A 16,811-nucleotide genomic window follows, 5' to 3' on the forward strand; every position below is an offset into this window, starting at 1 on the left:
GTTCTTCCCTAAATAATTTTATCAGAGCTCAGATGTCTCCCCTCCAGGGCAGTGAGGAGTAGGGTGGGGATGAGATGGATAAGTGGGTTTGGGGAAGTTAACTCTGAGTTCAAGGGAAAGAAAGGGTACAGAATCATTCAAGCTCCCTCACCCCTCATATTTAAAAAATTTTTGTGAGTACGTAGTAGGTGTATACATTTATGAGGTACGTGAGATGTTCTGATGCAGGCATGCAATCATGCCTGCAAGCAAGCACATCATGGAGAATGGGGTGTCCACCCCCTCAAGCATTTATCCTTTGAGTTGCAAACAATCCAGTTGCACTCTTAATTTTTTTTTTTTTTTTTTTTTGAGACCGAGTTTCACTCTTGTTGCCTAGGCTGGAGTGCAATGGCGCAATCTCGGCTCACTGCAACCTCCACCTCCTGGGTTCAAGCGATTCTCCTGCCTCAGCCTCCTGAGTAGCTGGGAATACAGGCATGCACCACCACGCCCGGCTAATTTTGTATGTTTTTAGTAGAGATGGGGTTTCTCCATGTTGGTTAGCCTGGTCTCAAACTCCTGACCTTAGGTGATCTGCCCGCCTTGGCCTCCCAAAGTATTGGGATTACAGGCATAAGCCACCACACCCGGCCTTGCACTCTTAATTTTAAAATGTACAATTAAGTTTTCATTGACTATAGCCACCCTGTTGTGCTATCAAATAGTAGGTTAGTCATTCTTTCTATTTTTTTGTTGTACCCATTAACCATCCCTACCCCATCCCCAGACCCCCACTACCCTTCCCAGCCTCTGGTAACCATCTTTCTACTTTCTATGTCCATGAGTTCAATTGTTTTGATTTTTAGATCTCACAAATAAGTGAGAACATGAGATGTTTGTCTTACTGTGACTGGCCTATTTCACTTAACATAATGATCTCCAGTTCCATCCATGTTGTTGCAAATGACAGGGTCTCATTCTTTCTTTATGGCTGAATAGTACTCCATTGTGTATATGTACCCATTTTCTTTATCCATTCATCTGTTGATGGACACTTAGGTTGCTTCCAAATCTTAGCCATTGTAAACAGTGCAGCAACAAACATAGGAGTGCAGATATCTCTTCAATATACTAATTTCCTTTCTTTTGGGCATATACCCAGCAGTGGGATTACTGAATTATATGGTAGCTGTCTTTTTAGTTTTTTGAGGAACCTCCAAACTGTTCTCCATACTGGTCATACTAACTTTCATTCCCACCAACAGTGTACATCCTCACCAGCATTTGTTATTGCCTGTCTTTTGGATATAAGCCGTTTTAACTGTGATGAGATGATATATCATTGTAGTTTTGATTTGCATTTCTATGATTGATGATGTTGAGCACATTTTTATGTGCCTATTAGCCATTTATATATCATATTTTGAGAAACGTCTATTAAAATCTTTAGACCATTTTTGATTGGATTCTTACCCCTCATATTTGACAGCACTCAGTGAGTAAGTGTGGGTGAGGAATTTGCCACCCTGCCTTGATTTGAGGAATGGCCAGGGATAAGAGAAGAGTTGGAGCTCTTCTGACATAGCCTGTGAACTGAGGGCAGATGGAACCAAAGCTATGGCCAGTTCTAGTGACATCAAGATGAGGGGATAGAAGCCCTTGGGATCTTATGTCATACTGGCTTACAATATCAAATGCAGAAAATCAAATTTCTCTCGAAGACCAATGAAATAACGCTTAGTCAGTGCCCAGAGACTTATCCTGTAAGTTAATACTTTCTTCTACTTCAGTATTGCAACTTTTCCTCTCTATGTGGGAAACGTGCACACGTGGAGGATGGTTGTGGAGGTGTGTGGTGTGCAGAGCTATGGGGGCTCAAGGTCATATGTGCTTTACCTGGTGCTGGGCTGGAGGCCTCATATCACTCCATCTGAAGGAGAGCACAGGTGTAGCTCAGAACAGATTCTCAATCTGGCCATCAGGAACATCATAGAATCCTACCTGGGGAAAGAGCCCTAGAGATCATTTGGTCTTATCATCTCATTTTATAGACATGTAAATTGAGGCTTAGGGAGGGAGAGGCTGTGCCTAAGGTCTCAGCTTTGTTACAATCTGCTCTTGATCTTCGAGTACCTTTCAATTCTAAAACTTGTGACTGCAAATACTGGAGAGAGCCTGGAGCCACAGCAGCTGGCCATGGTGCTGAAAACAGCCCCTTCCTGCCTCCCTGGGGCAGGCAGGCAGGAACATGCCCTCTACTTCTCCTACCTCCAAAAATGTCTCCACACTGTGTAAGAATATCATAGATTTTAAAGGGACATGGATTAGGAGTATTTTGAGTGTCAAAAGATCTTATTGTGGAAGAAGAGATTATTTTTATGCCAGAAGGCAGACTTAACACTGGTGGGTGAAAAGAATTCATCCGATTTTAACTCAGAGTAAGGAGGCAAGATAGTGCAGAGATAGACTGTGAGATTTGGAATCAGGAAGAACTGGGATTTAATCATCATCAATTCTCTTCCTAATACTCTGGGAAAGTGATTCCATTGTTCTAAAGCTCAGATTCATCACATAAAAGTATTCTAAATGAAAACCCATGCCTCTTATGCTCTGCTGTAAGAATTGTCTATATTTACCACCATCATGATTGCTTTGAAGGAAGAGTTTCTAATTGAGTTGGTCTGGACAGGGATGAGCAGTATGTGTACATCTGTCAAGGATTCTGTAGAGGGAACTTCCGTACTGGCTAGAGATTTGACTTGGTGACCTCTGAGGTTCATGGCAGCACTCAAATTCTGTTGTGTCTTCATGAACTTAGGGTGAAATCAGACTGAACATCCTACCCTATTAAAGCACAATAAACTAAGCTATCTTTAGGGATTTTACAGACCATGAATGTCACATTCACCATTCTCTGAGAAACAGCAACACAAGGAAGCTTTGCAGGTGCATCACTGTCCCAGTATCATCATCCTCACCACCACCACCACCACCACCATCATCGATAATGATATGATCATAACATGTTTTAATTATAAACACTTTAGTGATTCATTTCAGCAATGCATCATCCTCTTAAGGCAGATAACGCAAGTACAATTCTTCCAATTTTCCTTCCTTTCCAGAACAGGAAAATGTGACACAGAGAATTTCCTAAGGCCATTCAATTTTTTTTTTTTTTTTGAGACAGAGTCTCACTCTGTCACCCAGGTTGGAGTGCAGTGGCACAATATCGGCTCACTGCAAGCTTCACCTCCCGGGTTCACGCCATTCTCCTGCCTCAGCCTCCCGAGTAGCTGGGACTACATGCCACCATGCCCTGCTAATTTTTTTGTATTTTTAGTAGAGACGGAGCTTCACCATGTTAGCCAGGATAGTCTCGATCTCCTGACCTCGTGATCCACCCATGTTGGCCTCCCAAAGTGTTGGGATTACAGGCATGAGCCACCACACCAGCTGGCCATTCAACTTTTTATTGGCCCAGAAAGTCATGTATTTCTCACTTGAGGTCATCAGTGATCCTAGCTTATTACTCCTTCTTTCCCACTCTGCTATTTTGGTGGAGTGAGTCAAAGGGGAGAGGTGTGAGTGTGTGAGACAAAAGAGAGAATAGAAAGAGACCTACACTTTTTGACATCTACTGTGTCAAGGGACATGGATTAGGAGTATTTTGAGTGTCAAAAGGTCTCATTGTGGTAGAGGCTCTACCACAATAAGAGAGGCTCTACCCCAATAAGAGCTAGAGGCTCTCTCATTAAATCATTAAATTCTTCATTAGTACAATGAAGAAGGTATTATTTATCCAATTCTTCTGATACATGAAGATAAGGGAGGTGAATTAACAAGACCATAAAGCCAGGTTTTGGTCCCAATTCTGACTCGTGTGAACTTGGTCACTGAGATTCTTTCCAGTTCTAAAATTCTGTGATGTTTTAAAGCTAAAATTCTGTGATGCTGGCCATGGTGACCTACATCTGTAATCCCAACATTTTGGGAGGCCAAGGTGGGAGTATTGCTTGAGTCCAGGAGTTCAAGACAAGCCTGGGCAACATACTCAGATACTCTACAAAAAAAAATTTAACTGGACATGGTGGCATGCACCTTTAGTCCCAGCTTAGCTACTAAGGAGACCGAGGTGGGGGGGATCATTTGAGCCCAGGAGTTCACGGCTGCAGTGAGCTATGATTACCCCACTGCACTCCAGCCTGGGCAACAGAGCAAGACTCTGTCTCTTAAAAAATAAAGATAAAATTCAGTGACTTGTAAAAATGGGAAAGTGCTTTGCAGGGTCTGTGACTGTGGTGCTGAAAACACAGTGGGCTTGATCTCTTATCTAGTGAGTGCCAGAGTGGGCATTTGAAACCAGGTTTGTCTACCTCCAGGGCCACGCCTGGGCTCAGAGGAGGGAATCAGTTCCCTTGGTGGGTATTCAATTTGAGCATCAGGGCCAGGTGTGGACAGTTTGATTAAGCAGTGCTGATATGTGACATTAGATCCTAAGCCTGGGAAGTATTGCTCATTGCTGCGCCGCAACAGGAGCTGTTCAGACCAGTTCTTACCACCTGGCTGGGTCTGTTGTGAAGCCTTAGAATGGACAGATGTAACCAACGCACTCCTGAATCATGCCAGCCAGACTGCTTTCTGGTGATGTAGTGAACAGATATGAGATTTTGTGTTTCAGAGTTGAGTTTTCCTTCCTATGGCACAATTCCCCAGCCTATTATTAATGTGTCTTTATTATAAACTATTATTTGATCTGACTGTTCCAAATCAAAATGAATTTGCATTGGGCCTGATAGAGATAAAACTTAGACTAGCTGATCCTAAGGATGCAGATAGTAAGACCATTTTGTCATTAAGTTTGTTGGAACATTTTCTACCGTTTTCATTCCTTAAAACAAGAAAATATGGGGGAAATTTGGGGAAATTTCTCATTTTTGGGAAATTTCTGCAGAATAGCAGATGCTTCATGGTGTGGCTTCTCCCCTGAAAACTTTTCTAGTCCATCCTGCTTCTGTGTCCAATAATTCTTCTATGCCTTTGCCCAGAAACACAAGTTCCTGAGAAGAAAAAAGGAATCTTCAGGAGAGCCTATGACCTATTTTGTGGGCTAGAGCAGCACGGTGCACCCAAGATGACTGAGGAAGAGGAGAAAGCCATGAAGATGAAGATGACGGACACCTCTGAGAAGCCTTTGTGGAGGACAGTGTTGAACGTCAATGGCATCATCCTGGTGACCGTGGCTGTCTTTTGCCATGCATATTTTGCCTGAGTCCTACCTTTTGCTGTAGATTTACCATGGCTGGACTCTTACTCACCTTCCTTTAGTCTCGTCCTGTGGTGTTGAAGGGAAATCAGCCAGTTGTAAATTTTGCCCAGGTGGATAAATGTGTACATGTGTAATTATAGGCTAGCTGGAAGAAAACCATTAGTTTGCTGTTAATTTATGCATTTGAAGCCAGTGTGATACAGCCATCTGTACCTACTGGAGCTGCAGAAGGGAAGTCCACTCAGTCACATCCAGAAAAAGGCAGACTAAGAATCAGAAGCCATGTGATTGATGTCTGACGTGAGTCTGTCTCAGGTAGATTCCGGGTGTCAGTGTGGTTTATAATCCTTGAATATTGTTTTAGAAACTTTGGTCTCCCTGGTTCCTGCCACTTTTCCTGTCCGTCCTCCTCCCCATTTTTTTTTTAAAAGAAAGCTGTTTTCCCCTCATCATATCCCTCTTGAGTTTTGCCTGGACTTTCCCTCTCAAGTGTGTCAATCAGGTAAACTGAGGAATGCATGGAAGCTGAGGATGGAGCTTGATGGGCTCCCTGTCCTGGGTGTTTGCTCTCTGAAGTGGAGGCCTGAGGAAGGTAGTACTTCCACAAAAGGGAGGGACCCGGGCCCCAGCCTCAAGCTAGTGGGGGAGGCAGATAGCCTGAATCCAGGGGATTTTCTGGGCTTCTTAAAATGTCCATTGTGAGTTCCCCGTGTTTGGGATTCCACTCATTTTGGCATTCACAGTGCCTGGAATGTCTTAGATTTTCAGCAATGCGTGTTGAATAAATGAATGACATAGGCATTTATTTTTAAATCTTTGCTTGCTTTTTACATGAGCCTGGCCCTTAGTTAACCTTTTCTTGTGGCTACACAAAGTATGCTCACTGGTTACTAATGACTTGGGATGCATTTGTCAAACTGATTATATTAGTTTTCTAGGGATGCCATAACAAAGTAGCACAGACCAGATGGCTCAAGCAGCAGACATTTATTTTCTCACAGTTCTAGAGGCTAGAAGTTGGAGGCCAAGATGTCAGCAGGGTTGGTTTCTTCTGAGGCCTCTCTCCTTGGTTGCAGATGGTCATATCTCACTCTGTCTTCCGTGGCCTTCCTTTTGTCTGTGTCCTAAATCTACTCTTCTGATAAGGACATCAGTCATATTGGAATAGGACCCACCCTAATGTCTTCATTTTAATCACCTCTTTAAAGCCCCTACCTCCAAATACAGTCACACTGTGAGAAACTGAGGGTTAGGAAGTCAGCAAGTGAGTCTTGAAGAGATACTAAACAAACCCACAACACAGATAAAGTATGCATTTTGGAGATTTCCAAGCCAGAGTCTCCCGTGAAAAAGGTAAACGGAAGCAGTTATTGTGCAGCAAAAGGAAAAAGAATTACAAACTGAACGTATGTAGGTGAGGCAAGGCAGGGTAGGGCAGGGCCTTTGGGTAGGCTGATCAGAGGGTTTTTCAACAATAAATCAATGGGAATGCATTTGTTGCTCCCAGGACCCTGGCACCTTGACTCTGGTACTATAGCATGTCAGCAAATACAAGCAAAGCCCAACACTCTGATTTGCATTTATGCCAATCTAAACTATCCGGTGTTTAGTTTGATTTTTTGAGTGCAGGTTCATTCAAGGACCAGGTTCCCTTGTGCTCAGGGTGAAGTAGAACCAGAAAACATCGTTATCCATTCCCAGAAGTTTTGGAAGAGCCTTGGTAGAAAAGCAGAAGCTGCTTTGACCGTGAAAATATTTGACTCCTATCAGTTTTTGGTCAGGAGAAGATATCCACCTAGACCAACCTGAGGAGAAGGCTCAGAGTACAGATATACCCCGAGCAACGTGATCAATGTCCTTGAACCTTCATTTTTCATCTGAAAACAGAGACATAAATGCCTGGCTCACAGATTTAAATGTTATACATTGACAGCATTTATCAGTATAACATTTATTTAAATAAGTAGGTGCTCAATAGGTGTTGGTCTTCTAACTTGTCTACATCCCATCCCCATTCCAGGGTCTTCAGAATTGAAGGAGAGATGTTGTATCACTGTTAGAAGGCTGCTTTGGGACATTCTGCAGCAGGGAGGAGGGACTGTCAACCCCTACACCATGACCACCAAGTTCCTCACCTTGGCTGAGTCCCTAAAACTCTCTGAACCTCAGGTTCCTCCAAGCATAATGCAGACTTCACAGAGCTGTTGTAAAGATTAGGTGAGGTCAATTGATACTGCTTAAAAGGCCCGGTCCGTAGAAAATGCCCAATAAACATTACTGCTTTCCCCCTCACCCTACTGCCTGAAAAAATATTACACCTGTGAGACTGACTTTGAGAACCAGTGTGGGTGGGGAGTTGTGCATATAAACTATTTAATGAGTACCAAACACAAAAGTCAAGCTTGTAAAATATCAGGCCTTGCCCCAGAAAGACAAATACCACATGATCTCACTGATATGTAGAATCTTAAAAAGTCAAACTCAGAAGCAGAGAGTAGAATGATGGTTATCAAGGGCTGGGGGAGGGAGGGACTGGGGAGATGTTGGTCAAATGATACAAAGGTTTAGTTAGGTGGAATAAGTTCAGAAAATCAATTGTACAATGTATCAATTATAGTTAATAGCAATATAACATATACTTGAAAATTGCTGAGAGTAGTGTGAGTGTTCTACCACAAAAAAATATGTGCAGTAATAGATGTTAATTACCTTAATTTAGTCATTTCACAATATGTACATATATAAAAATATGTTGTATGCCATGAGTATATATAATTATTATTTGTGAATTTAAAAAATAAAAATAATTTCCAAAAAAAGTGACAGGCACTGGACACGTAGAGGAGGGGCCAGAATTAAGCAGATGGGCCCTAAAAGTCAATGGGGTCAGAGTTTTCTTTCCCTGGGTGCTGTAATGTACCTCAGCCATACCTACACACCTTTGATTTCAGAAAAGGCTTTCGGTCCTAACACAGCTCTACAAATCTCAAAGGAGGAACTGGGGAAAAGGTTTCTCCATTCTTCCAGTGTTGGTGAGGAAATGAAGCCCCTTTAGAAGTTAACTCTAAATAGTGGTTTTCAAAATGTGATCTTCAGACCAGCAGCCGCAAAATCATCTGGGAACTTGTTAGAAACGCACGTTCTCAGGCCCTATTCCAGACCTACAAAATCAGAAATGTCAGGGGAGGGGGTGCATCCCAAAAATCTGTGTTTCAACAAGCCCTCCAGGGGTTCTGATGCAAGCTATAGCTGGAGAATCACTACTCTAAGCAGCCCTTGGTCTGGTTCTGAACTGCATGTGCGTGAGCTGCCAGCACTCTTGTGTGAAGAAGGTCCCTTTATCAGATGGGTTTTTGCTACCAGTTTTCCAAGCATGGGATACATGGTATTAAATTGCCTGTTCTTTCACTGAGTGGCTCTCAGGACTTCAAAAGCTGGCTGGGTTAAGGATGCAACATGGGGCTCTGGGGCTGAATTGTACTTACCTGAGTCCCTTGGAGCCAGTCACACAACACCGGCCCCACTGACCTCATCCACACCTCCCTAATCCCATCCCCACCAAACTACCAAGACAATGCCACCTCACTGAAACAACTTCATCCATCAAATTACAATTTGGAGGTTAGGTGAGATTTTCTTTGGACAGGATAGGAAGGATGTTAAGAAACCCCTTTCATCCAGGCAAGCTCACTTATGCTTTTCTCTCGAGGTTCACTTTTGTGAAGAAGGACAAGAAAACACAAGCTGCAGCACCTCTTTTAGAAGATGGTGACTTCAGCACTAGGTAAGAGTGCGTTCCAGTGAGTTCCAAAGAAGGAATGTCACTGAGGGAACAGCAATGCCGGGCACAGCTACACACAAGCAAAGTAGTGCTCTCAGGTAGGTCAAAGGCCCCAGGACCAACTTCACTCTGTAGGGACAGAGGCCAGGCTTTGCATTTTGAAAGATTCCTTTTGAAATAGGCATCTATATTTAAAGAAGTTTTTTCTGCCTGATAAGGCATGATTTTTCAGTTCTATAAATTGAGGACAGATAGGCAGTCATTCAACCCCATAGAGAATACCATCTTCTTTTTTTTTTTTTTTTTTTTTTGAGACTAAGTCTTGCTCTGTTGCCCAGGCTGGAGTACAGTGACCTGATCTCCGCTCACTGCAACCTCCGCCTCCCGGGTTCAAGCGATTCTTCTGCCTCAGCCTCCCAAGTAGCTGGGATTACAGGCATGTGCCACCACGCCTGGCTAATTTTTCATATTTTTAGTAGAGACGGAGTTTCACCGTGTTAGCCAGGATGGTCTCAATCTCCTGAAGTCATGATCCACCCGCCTCAGCCTCCCAAAGTGCTGGGATTACAGGAGTGAGCCACTGCGCCCGGCCTAGAATACCATCTTCAATTTGGGGAAATGAATAGTGCCCCTGAAATTATTGTAGCATAATTTATCATTTGCTCACCCTAAGTAGCTCAGTCTATTCTAACGGGGCTTTGTACAGGCAGAGTTACTCACCTCATGTTTACTAGTGGCTCTGCAGTTGAAATAATCTCTAAACTTACCTATATTTTAAAAATTGTTCAAGTTGCTAGATCCAATTATCAACTATCCTGGCCTCCTGCTTCCTGACCCATATCTTGTGCCAACTAAGCTCACCATAGATATATTTAGTATTTGTCCAGAATCTCTGGAGAACAGGGAATCAGGATGTTATGGGGTTTTAATGTTTTTATTTTTATCAAAGGAATACATTTTAATTTGTGGGACTATAATGCAGGTTAATATAGCATCTGTATGGCATCTTTTGCATATGTAGCTCCCATCCCGTTTTCAAAGTGTCCTCATCACAACGACAGGAGGTAGGTAGATGCTACAAGCACCAAGGTCCTCATTTTTCAAAAAAACAAAATACACAGTTGAGACTAAATAATTTGCCAAAATATACACAGCAAATCACTGGCAAAACCAGAAACCGAATCCAGGACAGTCTAGACATTTTCCACTGTCCACCCATCCAGTGGCTTTTCTTCCTTTCCCTTTAGCCTCTCAAAACTCAAAACATAACACAAGCTTCATGTCAGATCCAGTCCTCTAGGGAACGCCAGCCAAGTGAAATTCTCCACTTTTCCCTCTCCTCTGCCTCGCTTCAGGAGACTGAGAAGGCACTACAAATAGTGCTCTGTGGATTTCCTTCCTTCCATGAGAACAAGCCATCCCTTTACCTTTTGAACCATGTTTATACACAGGAACCACTCTCAGCTCCTTTCTAAGCTACCCTGAAACCAGTCAATACTAACATTATGATTTTTTCAGTGGGATTATATGACAACATAATTGGGATTTCACAGGTGTAATTAAAAGAATTAATTAAATTTAAATAAAAAGAATTTCCTCTTAAGAAAATGGTTCAACAAAAAATACACATCTGTCAGCTAGAAGTGTTAGGTGCTACCACTTGGAACCGAGATCACCTACCCTAACCTTTGTCAAACTGATTAGATCCTGTTCTGTGTTTTCTTAAGATTCTTTATTTGTCTAGTTGGTATCAATTTATCACAAGGCCAATGAACTATATGTTTATTATTTTCTGTATTCTTGATGCTCTGGTATTTGGGGGATCTTGCAGACTCAGGGAAAGACTGCTCTTCCCAGGGAGGTCAAAGCAGCTTCTGCTTTTCTACCTTACAGATAGCAAGGTCTGCTTTTCTATCTTACAGGTAGTAAAGAGCTTGCCTGGGAGCATGTCTTTCATATACAAACCAACCAATCCCAAGTCTATCACCCCAAATCCAACTTCCACACACTAAGCCAGTATTTCCTCTGCACTGAATAATCCTAGGGCCAGGCACCAGGCAACTAGAGACCAATTCAATAGCCCAAAGCCCATTGGAATTGTTCAAACTAGTCGATCCTAAACCATTTACTCTGCCCTGTTCTGCCTTTCCCAAGGAAACTCCAATTAAGGTGCTGGCCCATTCCTTTACTCCTTTCTGCCTCCTAATGACACCAGTGCTTTCCCTATGTCCCTGTGTGACATATGACTATCCCCTCTCTGGGATCTGAGAGTATAATAAACTTCTTCCTTTCAGACCTTGTTCTCTCCTCCTGGGGCCATACCAACTTGACCATATCTTACCCAACATCTACATGCTTAGAACAAATCCCTTCCACTTCCTATAGTTAGCTCAAAGGGCTGCAGGACACCATCAGGCTGTTGATCAGGAATTGCACCATCATTTCCTTAAAAGTCCATCCATCTCTTTCTCAACCTTTCTTCTGGCCCCTTTACCTTCTCTTATTCTCTCTTTGTGCCCATTCATCTCCCCTCATTCCTTATTTCCTGGTCCAGTTATTTTATGGACCTCAGTGAACATACATCACCAGTCTCCATCTTCACTTTTCATCCCTTTCCTCCCCTATGCCCCAGAGCCCTCTGAAATTATTCAAACTAGCCAATCCTGCTTACCTTGCTTTATGCATTTCTTCCCACAAAACCATAATAAATGCTCTTGCCCATGTTTTTCTCCCATTCCCCTGCCTCCTGAGCAACCCTGGGGCTTCCCCATGTAGATTTTTGTGGTGTGGCATGCCCCTTTGCCTTGGGAACTGTTAAGTTACAAACTGTCTTTTCAATGGCAGTTGTCTTCTGATCTGTTGGCCTCACCATACCTCAATAACGTAAAAACTGCATTAAAAAAAGAAGTGGAGTTCTCTATGCTTCTGAAGTTAAGTTGATATCAATTTAAAAGAGATTGTGGTAACTTTAGGATGTTAAATCTAATCCCCTTGGTCATCACAAAGGATATATCTAAAAATATACATAAAATGAAATGAGAAAATAAAAAGTTTACTATGAAAAATCAACTAAACACAAAAGAAGGCAGTAATGGAGGAAATGAGACCAAAAAGGTATAAAATACAGAAAACAAATAGCAAAATGGCAGAAATAAGTTCTTTCTTATCAGTAATTTGTTTGAATGTAAATGAATTACATCAAAAGGCAGAGATCATCAGAATGGGTAATAAAAACATGATTCAACTGTGTTATTCATGAAGCATTCACTTTAGATCCAAAGACACAAATAGATCGAAAGTGCAGGGATGGAAAAAGAGACTCCATGATAACCAAAAGACAGTTGGGCAATATGAGAAAAAATCAGAAAACAAGACCTGAAATAAAAACTGTTGAAAGAGGGCTGGGTGTGGTGGCTCATGCCTGTAATCCCAGCACTTTGGGAGCCCAAGGCGGGTGGATCATTTGAGGTCAGGAGCACATGTCCAGCATGGCCAACATGGTGAAACCCCATCTCTGCTAAAAATACAAAAATTAGGTGAGCATGGTGGTGGGCACCTGTAGTCCCAGCTACTGGGGAGGCTGAGGCAGGAGAATCACTTGAACCTGGGAGGTGGAGGCTGTAGTCAGCTGAGATCCACTCCAGCCTGAGTGACAAAGTGAGACTCCATCTCAAAAAAAACAAAACAAAACAAAAACTGCTAAAAGAAACAACAACATTATATGTTGATAAAAGGGTCAGTTCATTAAGATATAACAATTATAAACATATATTGATAAAGATCCTCTCAAACAAACTTTAGTCAGGCTCCTCTGAGCCCTCTGTTTGACTAGGCCCAAGCTTTGGGCTTCTGTGTTCATCTTTGCATCACCCAGTTTTAGCAAGAATCCTGTCAAATTGATTTAGCCAGACTCCCCCACCCTCAATATCAGATCACCTTTGATATATGATCATCCTCCTCATCTCCCACCATTCTTCAGGTGATATCTGATTACTTTGGCCAGTCTTCAGCAAAAATCCTGTTTAGTTAGTTTAGCAAGCATCACCTTATGTGCTTAGTAATTTTCCATCTACTAATTCGCCAACCCTCTGTTCCATTTTTCCTTGTTGTAAAGTTGAACCCAATCTCTCTCCCCTACTGCAAAAACCCACTGCAGTAGTCCCTACACCTATTGCAAGAGTGACAGATAAGGTCTGCATTACTGTTTTAACAAGTGCCAGAATAACATTTTTTCTTATACAATATGCACCAAACAACAGAGCTTCAGAATACATGAAGAAAATATTGACAGAATTGAATAGATGATGATAGAAGAGTTAGGTAATTCTATAATAATAGTTGGAGACTTCAATATACCACTTTCAGTAATGCACAGAACATCTAGAAAGGTCAAGAAGGAAATAAAGGACTTGAACAACATGATAAACCAAGTCTATCTAACAGACATTCAGAAGAGTCCACCCACCAACAGCAAAATGCACATTCTTCCCAAGTGCACATGGATATTCTCCAGGATTGACTATATGTTAGGACATAAAACAAGTCTCAATAAATTTTAAAAGATTGAAGTCATCAAATTATCTTTCCCAACCACCATGGAATGAAATTACAAATCAGTAATAGAAGAAAAAACTCAAAAATTCATAAATATATGGAAATTGAATAACATGCTCTTAAACGACCAATGTGTCAAAGAAATCACAAGGGAAATTAGAAAATACTTAGAGATGAATTAAAATGAAAATGTAACATACCAGAACTTAAGGGATGCAGCTTAGGAAGTGCTCAGAGCACAGCTACTCAAGTATCTAAATATTTATACAACTATTTTTTTCCTCATCTTTAAAACAAAGATGGACCGATAATTTTTAAAATACAACACACTGGGCAGGGCGAGGTGGCTCATGCCTGTAATCCCAGCACTTTGGGAGGCTGAGACAGGCGGATCACGAGGTCAGGAGTTCGAGACAAGCCTGGCCAATATGGTGAAACCTTGTCTCTACTAAAAATACAAAAATTAGCCAGGCATGGTGGTGTGCACTTGTAATCCCAGCTTCTCAGGAGGCTGAGGCAGGAGAATCGCTTGAACCCGGGAGGCAGAGGTTTCAGTGAGCCGGTATCACACCACTGCACTCCAGCCTGGGCACAGGGCAAGACTCTGTCTTGGGGCGGCAGGGAGGAGGGGGGAGTACAACACACTGACAAGTAGTCTATTTTTAACTCAGTTTTGGATGGTTGTTTGTTAAGGCTATTGCTTGGGATAAATAATACAAAGGGAGGAGAAGGAGAAACAACAACACATAGAAGAAATAGAAGCAGCAGCATAGGAAAATGAAAAAGAACAAGAAAATGATAAGGAGAAGAAAAACCAGACTAGAAAAAAGGAAAAAGAACAGGTAAGGGACTCAGGAGGCCTATTCTACCTGTTGTCCCCTCCCTGATTCATGAAATTTGAAAAAGTCCAAGACTATCCCAACAGAAAACAAGCAAAAAGATACACAAATAGTCACCCCTCAAACTTTAATAATGACACAATGGTGCCACTCACGCCTGGCTCAGGCCCCAGAAGGAGGAGGGTGCCCTCAGAGAAGACTCCTCCTTGCCCTGGCTGCACGTCTACTGCTGCCACAGAGGTCCACAGTACAGCACCCGCAGCTTCCTACCCAGCCCAGGCTGGCCCTGCAGTGCTCCTACTCGCCTTCCCAGGCCCCAGACTTGCTACTGCTGCCACCACTAGCACCGATGCCAATACAACCACCACTGCTGCCGCCCTCAATGAACCGGCCCACCCTACAGGGCTCCCACCACCTGGCCACCGCTGCAGCACTGCCCTGGCCCTGGCAGCAGCCAGCCGCCCTCCTACCTCTCTGGCACTCTGCAGTCTCCATCGCTGCCACCACGCCAACCACAGCGAGGCAAGCCGTGGTGTCCCTGGCTCCAGCCTCCAGCATGTGCAGGTGGCTACTCCTTCTCCTGGCACGGAGCAACTGGATGGGCAAAGCCAGAAAAGCCTAGAACAGGATGCAGAGTAGTAGTGTGAGAGACTTAGTCATGTTGGCCACTGGGTGGCAGGGGCTCTCAAACCCACCTTCCAAAGTCCAGTCTCTCCTTTTGGCCCAAGCTGGCCAGGAACTGGGGCCTGGGGTGGGGACTGGAGACACCATGGTACCCAGGCTTCCCACTCCACAGGAACCGCTGGGCTCAGCCGGGTTGTACTCCTTGGGGAGCAGGAGCAGCAGAAACTCAACCCCAGCCAGCCTTCCCCACTGAAGTGCCAGTTCCCGTTCCTGACACCTCCACCCAAAGGGCCCTGTTGCCCCATGGTATCAGCTACTGTATGCCTGGGGATCCCAGGTGGTCTCTGCTAAACAGAGTAAGAAGACGTGGATCCAGGAAGCACAGTGGGTCTAGGGCCCCTGCCATGCTCAGTATTCCCGCGGAAACACTGTGCGCCCGCCACACTTCAGCACAAACAGGAGGAGGTGGCCGTCTAGAGTCTGGAGTCCGGGGAGAGGAGGACCGCTCCTCTCTTGGAGACCACCGCTGTCACTGACGTGTCCACCACCCACCACTGGCAGTGCAGCCCCTGATAATGCCCCATAACTCATCCCCATCTAGGATACTGCAGCACCCGATGGTGCCCACAACCTGCCCCCTGCCATTGGCAGTGCAGCCCAGGTTAATGCCCCCAAACTGCTCCCTGATGTTGGCAGTGCAGCCACGGAAAGTGCCCCCAACCAGCCTCCCGCCATGGGAAGTGACTCCCGGGATAGCGCCCCCAAGCAGACCCTAGCCTTGGGCAGTGACGCCCGGGTAGGTCGCCCAACCGCCACCCACCCCGTTGCCGAGAGTGCAGCACCAGATAGCGACCCTAACATGCCCCCCATCACTGGCGGTGTAGCCCAGGATAGCGCCGCCAACCCCTCACTTGACGCGACAGTGTAGCCCCTGATAGTGCACCCAATCTGCCACCCACTGCCGGCACTGCAACCCCGGATAGTGCACCCGACACACTCCCTGCTGGGCAGTGCAGCCCCCCAATAGCACCCAACCCGTCCCTCCACCCCTGCCACTGGCAGTCCACTCCCGATAATGCCCCCAACACGTTCCTGGCTGTGGGCAGTGTAGTCCATAGATAGCGCCCCAAACCAGCCCCCAGCCATGGGCAGTGACACCTCAGATATCACACCCAAGGAGTTCCCCACCATGGGCACTGATGTCCCAGACAGCACCCCAACTCGAGCCTCGTGTGACCAATGCAGCCACAGATAGGCCCCCAACAAGCCCCCACCCCACCACTGCTGCAGGAAATGATGCCTGGGATAACACCCAACCATTCCCCACCGTGGGCAGTGCAACACCCAGTACTGCCCCTAACACACCCCCCACACAAGATGGCGCCCCCAATCCCCCCCTCACCTTGGGCAGTGTAGTTCACGATAGTGCATCCAATCCTTGGCCCCTGAGCTCACTGCCCCTCTCCCCCCGCCACAAGTCCCTGGATAGCTCACCTACTCTGCCACCTTTCTACCACTTTGGCTGTGCTGTACTCTACCTCACTGCCACCAGCCACAGTGAGGCGAGCCATGCTGCTGCAGGCTCAAGCCTCCAGCATGCCACCGGTGACAACTCCTTCTCTAATCTGGGGTCGGAACAGATGGGCGGGCAGACGTAGAAGAACCTGGAATGGCAAGACTCTCGCTTACAAAGGTTATGCAAATTAGGTTCCTGGACTACATGTTCTGATTGGATGAGAGAAAAATCTCTAGGTCTACTATG

The 16,811-nt window shown here is 44.6% G+C and overlaps 1 protein-coding gene and 1 long non-coding RNA gene across 4 annotated transcripts in view; one reads left to right on the top strand and one right to left on the bottom strand.

The window, feature by feature from the left end:
* Positions 1-8,070, top strand: part of SLC5A1 (solute carrier family 5 member 1) — a 69,769-nt gene extending 61,699 nt beyond the window's left edge. For both annotated transcript variants that reach the window (NM_000343.4, NM_001256314.2), the window contains one exon: positions 5,031-8,070. In NM_000343.4, the coding sequence (NP_000334.1) occupies positions 5,031-5,254 (224 nt within the window). In that variant the 3' untranslated portion in view covers positions 5,255-8,070. The remainder of the gene's footprint in view (positions 1-5,030) is intronic.
* LOC105373000 (uncharacterized) lies at positions 1,898-16,710 on the bottom strand. Of its 2 annotated transcripts, none has more exons than XR_938172.3 (3): positions 16,452-16,710; positions 14,896-15,043; positions 1,898-1,983 (listed from the first exon to the last, which is right to left on the bottom strand). It is a non-coding gene; the product is annotated as an uncharacterized LOC105373000 (long non-coding RNA). The 2 variants fall into 2 exon arrangements; XR_938171.3 differs by lacking the exon at positions 1,898-1,983 and adding an exon at positions 9,951-10,124.
* Between the last annotated feature and the right edge of the window lie 101 nt (positions 16,711-16,811).

The sequence above is a fragment of the Homo sapiens genome, chromosome 22, assembly GCF_000001405.40.
Source record: "Homo sapiens chromosome 22, GRCh38.p14 Primary Assembly".
Classification (NCBI taxonomy): Eukaryota; Metazoa; Chordata; class Mammalia; order Primates; family Hominidae; genus Homo; species Homo sapiens.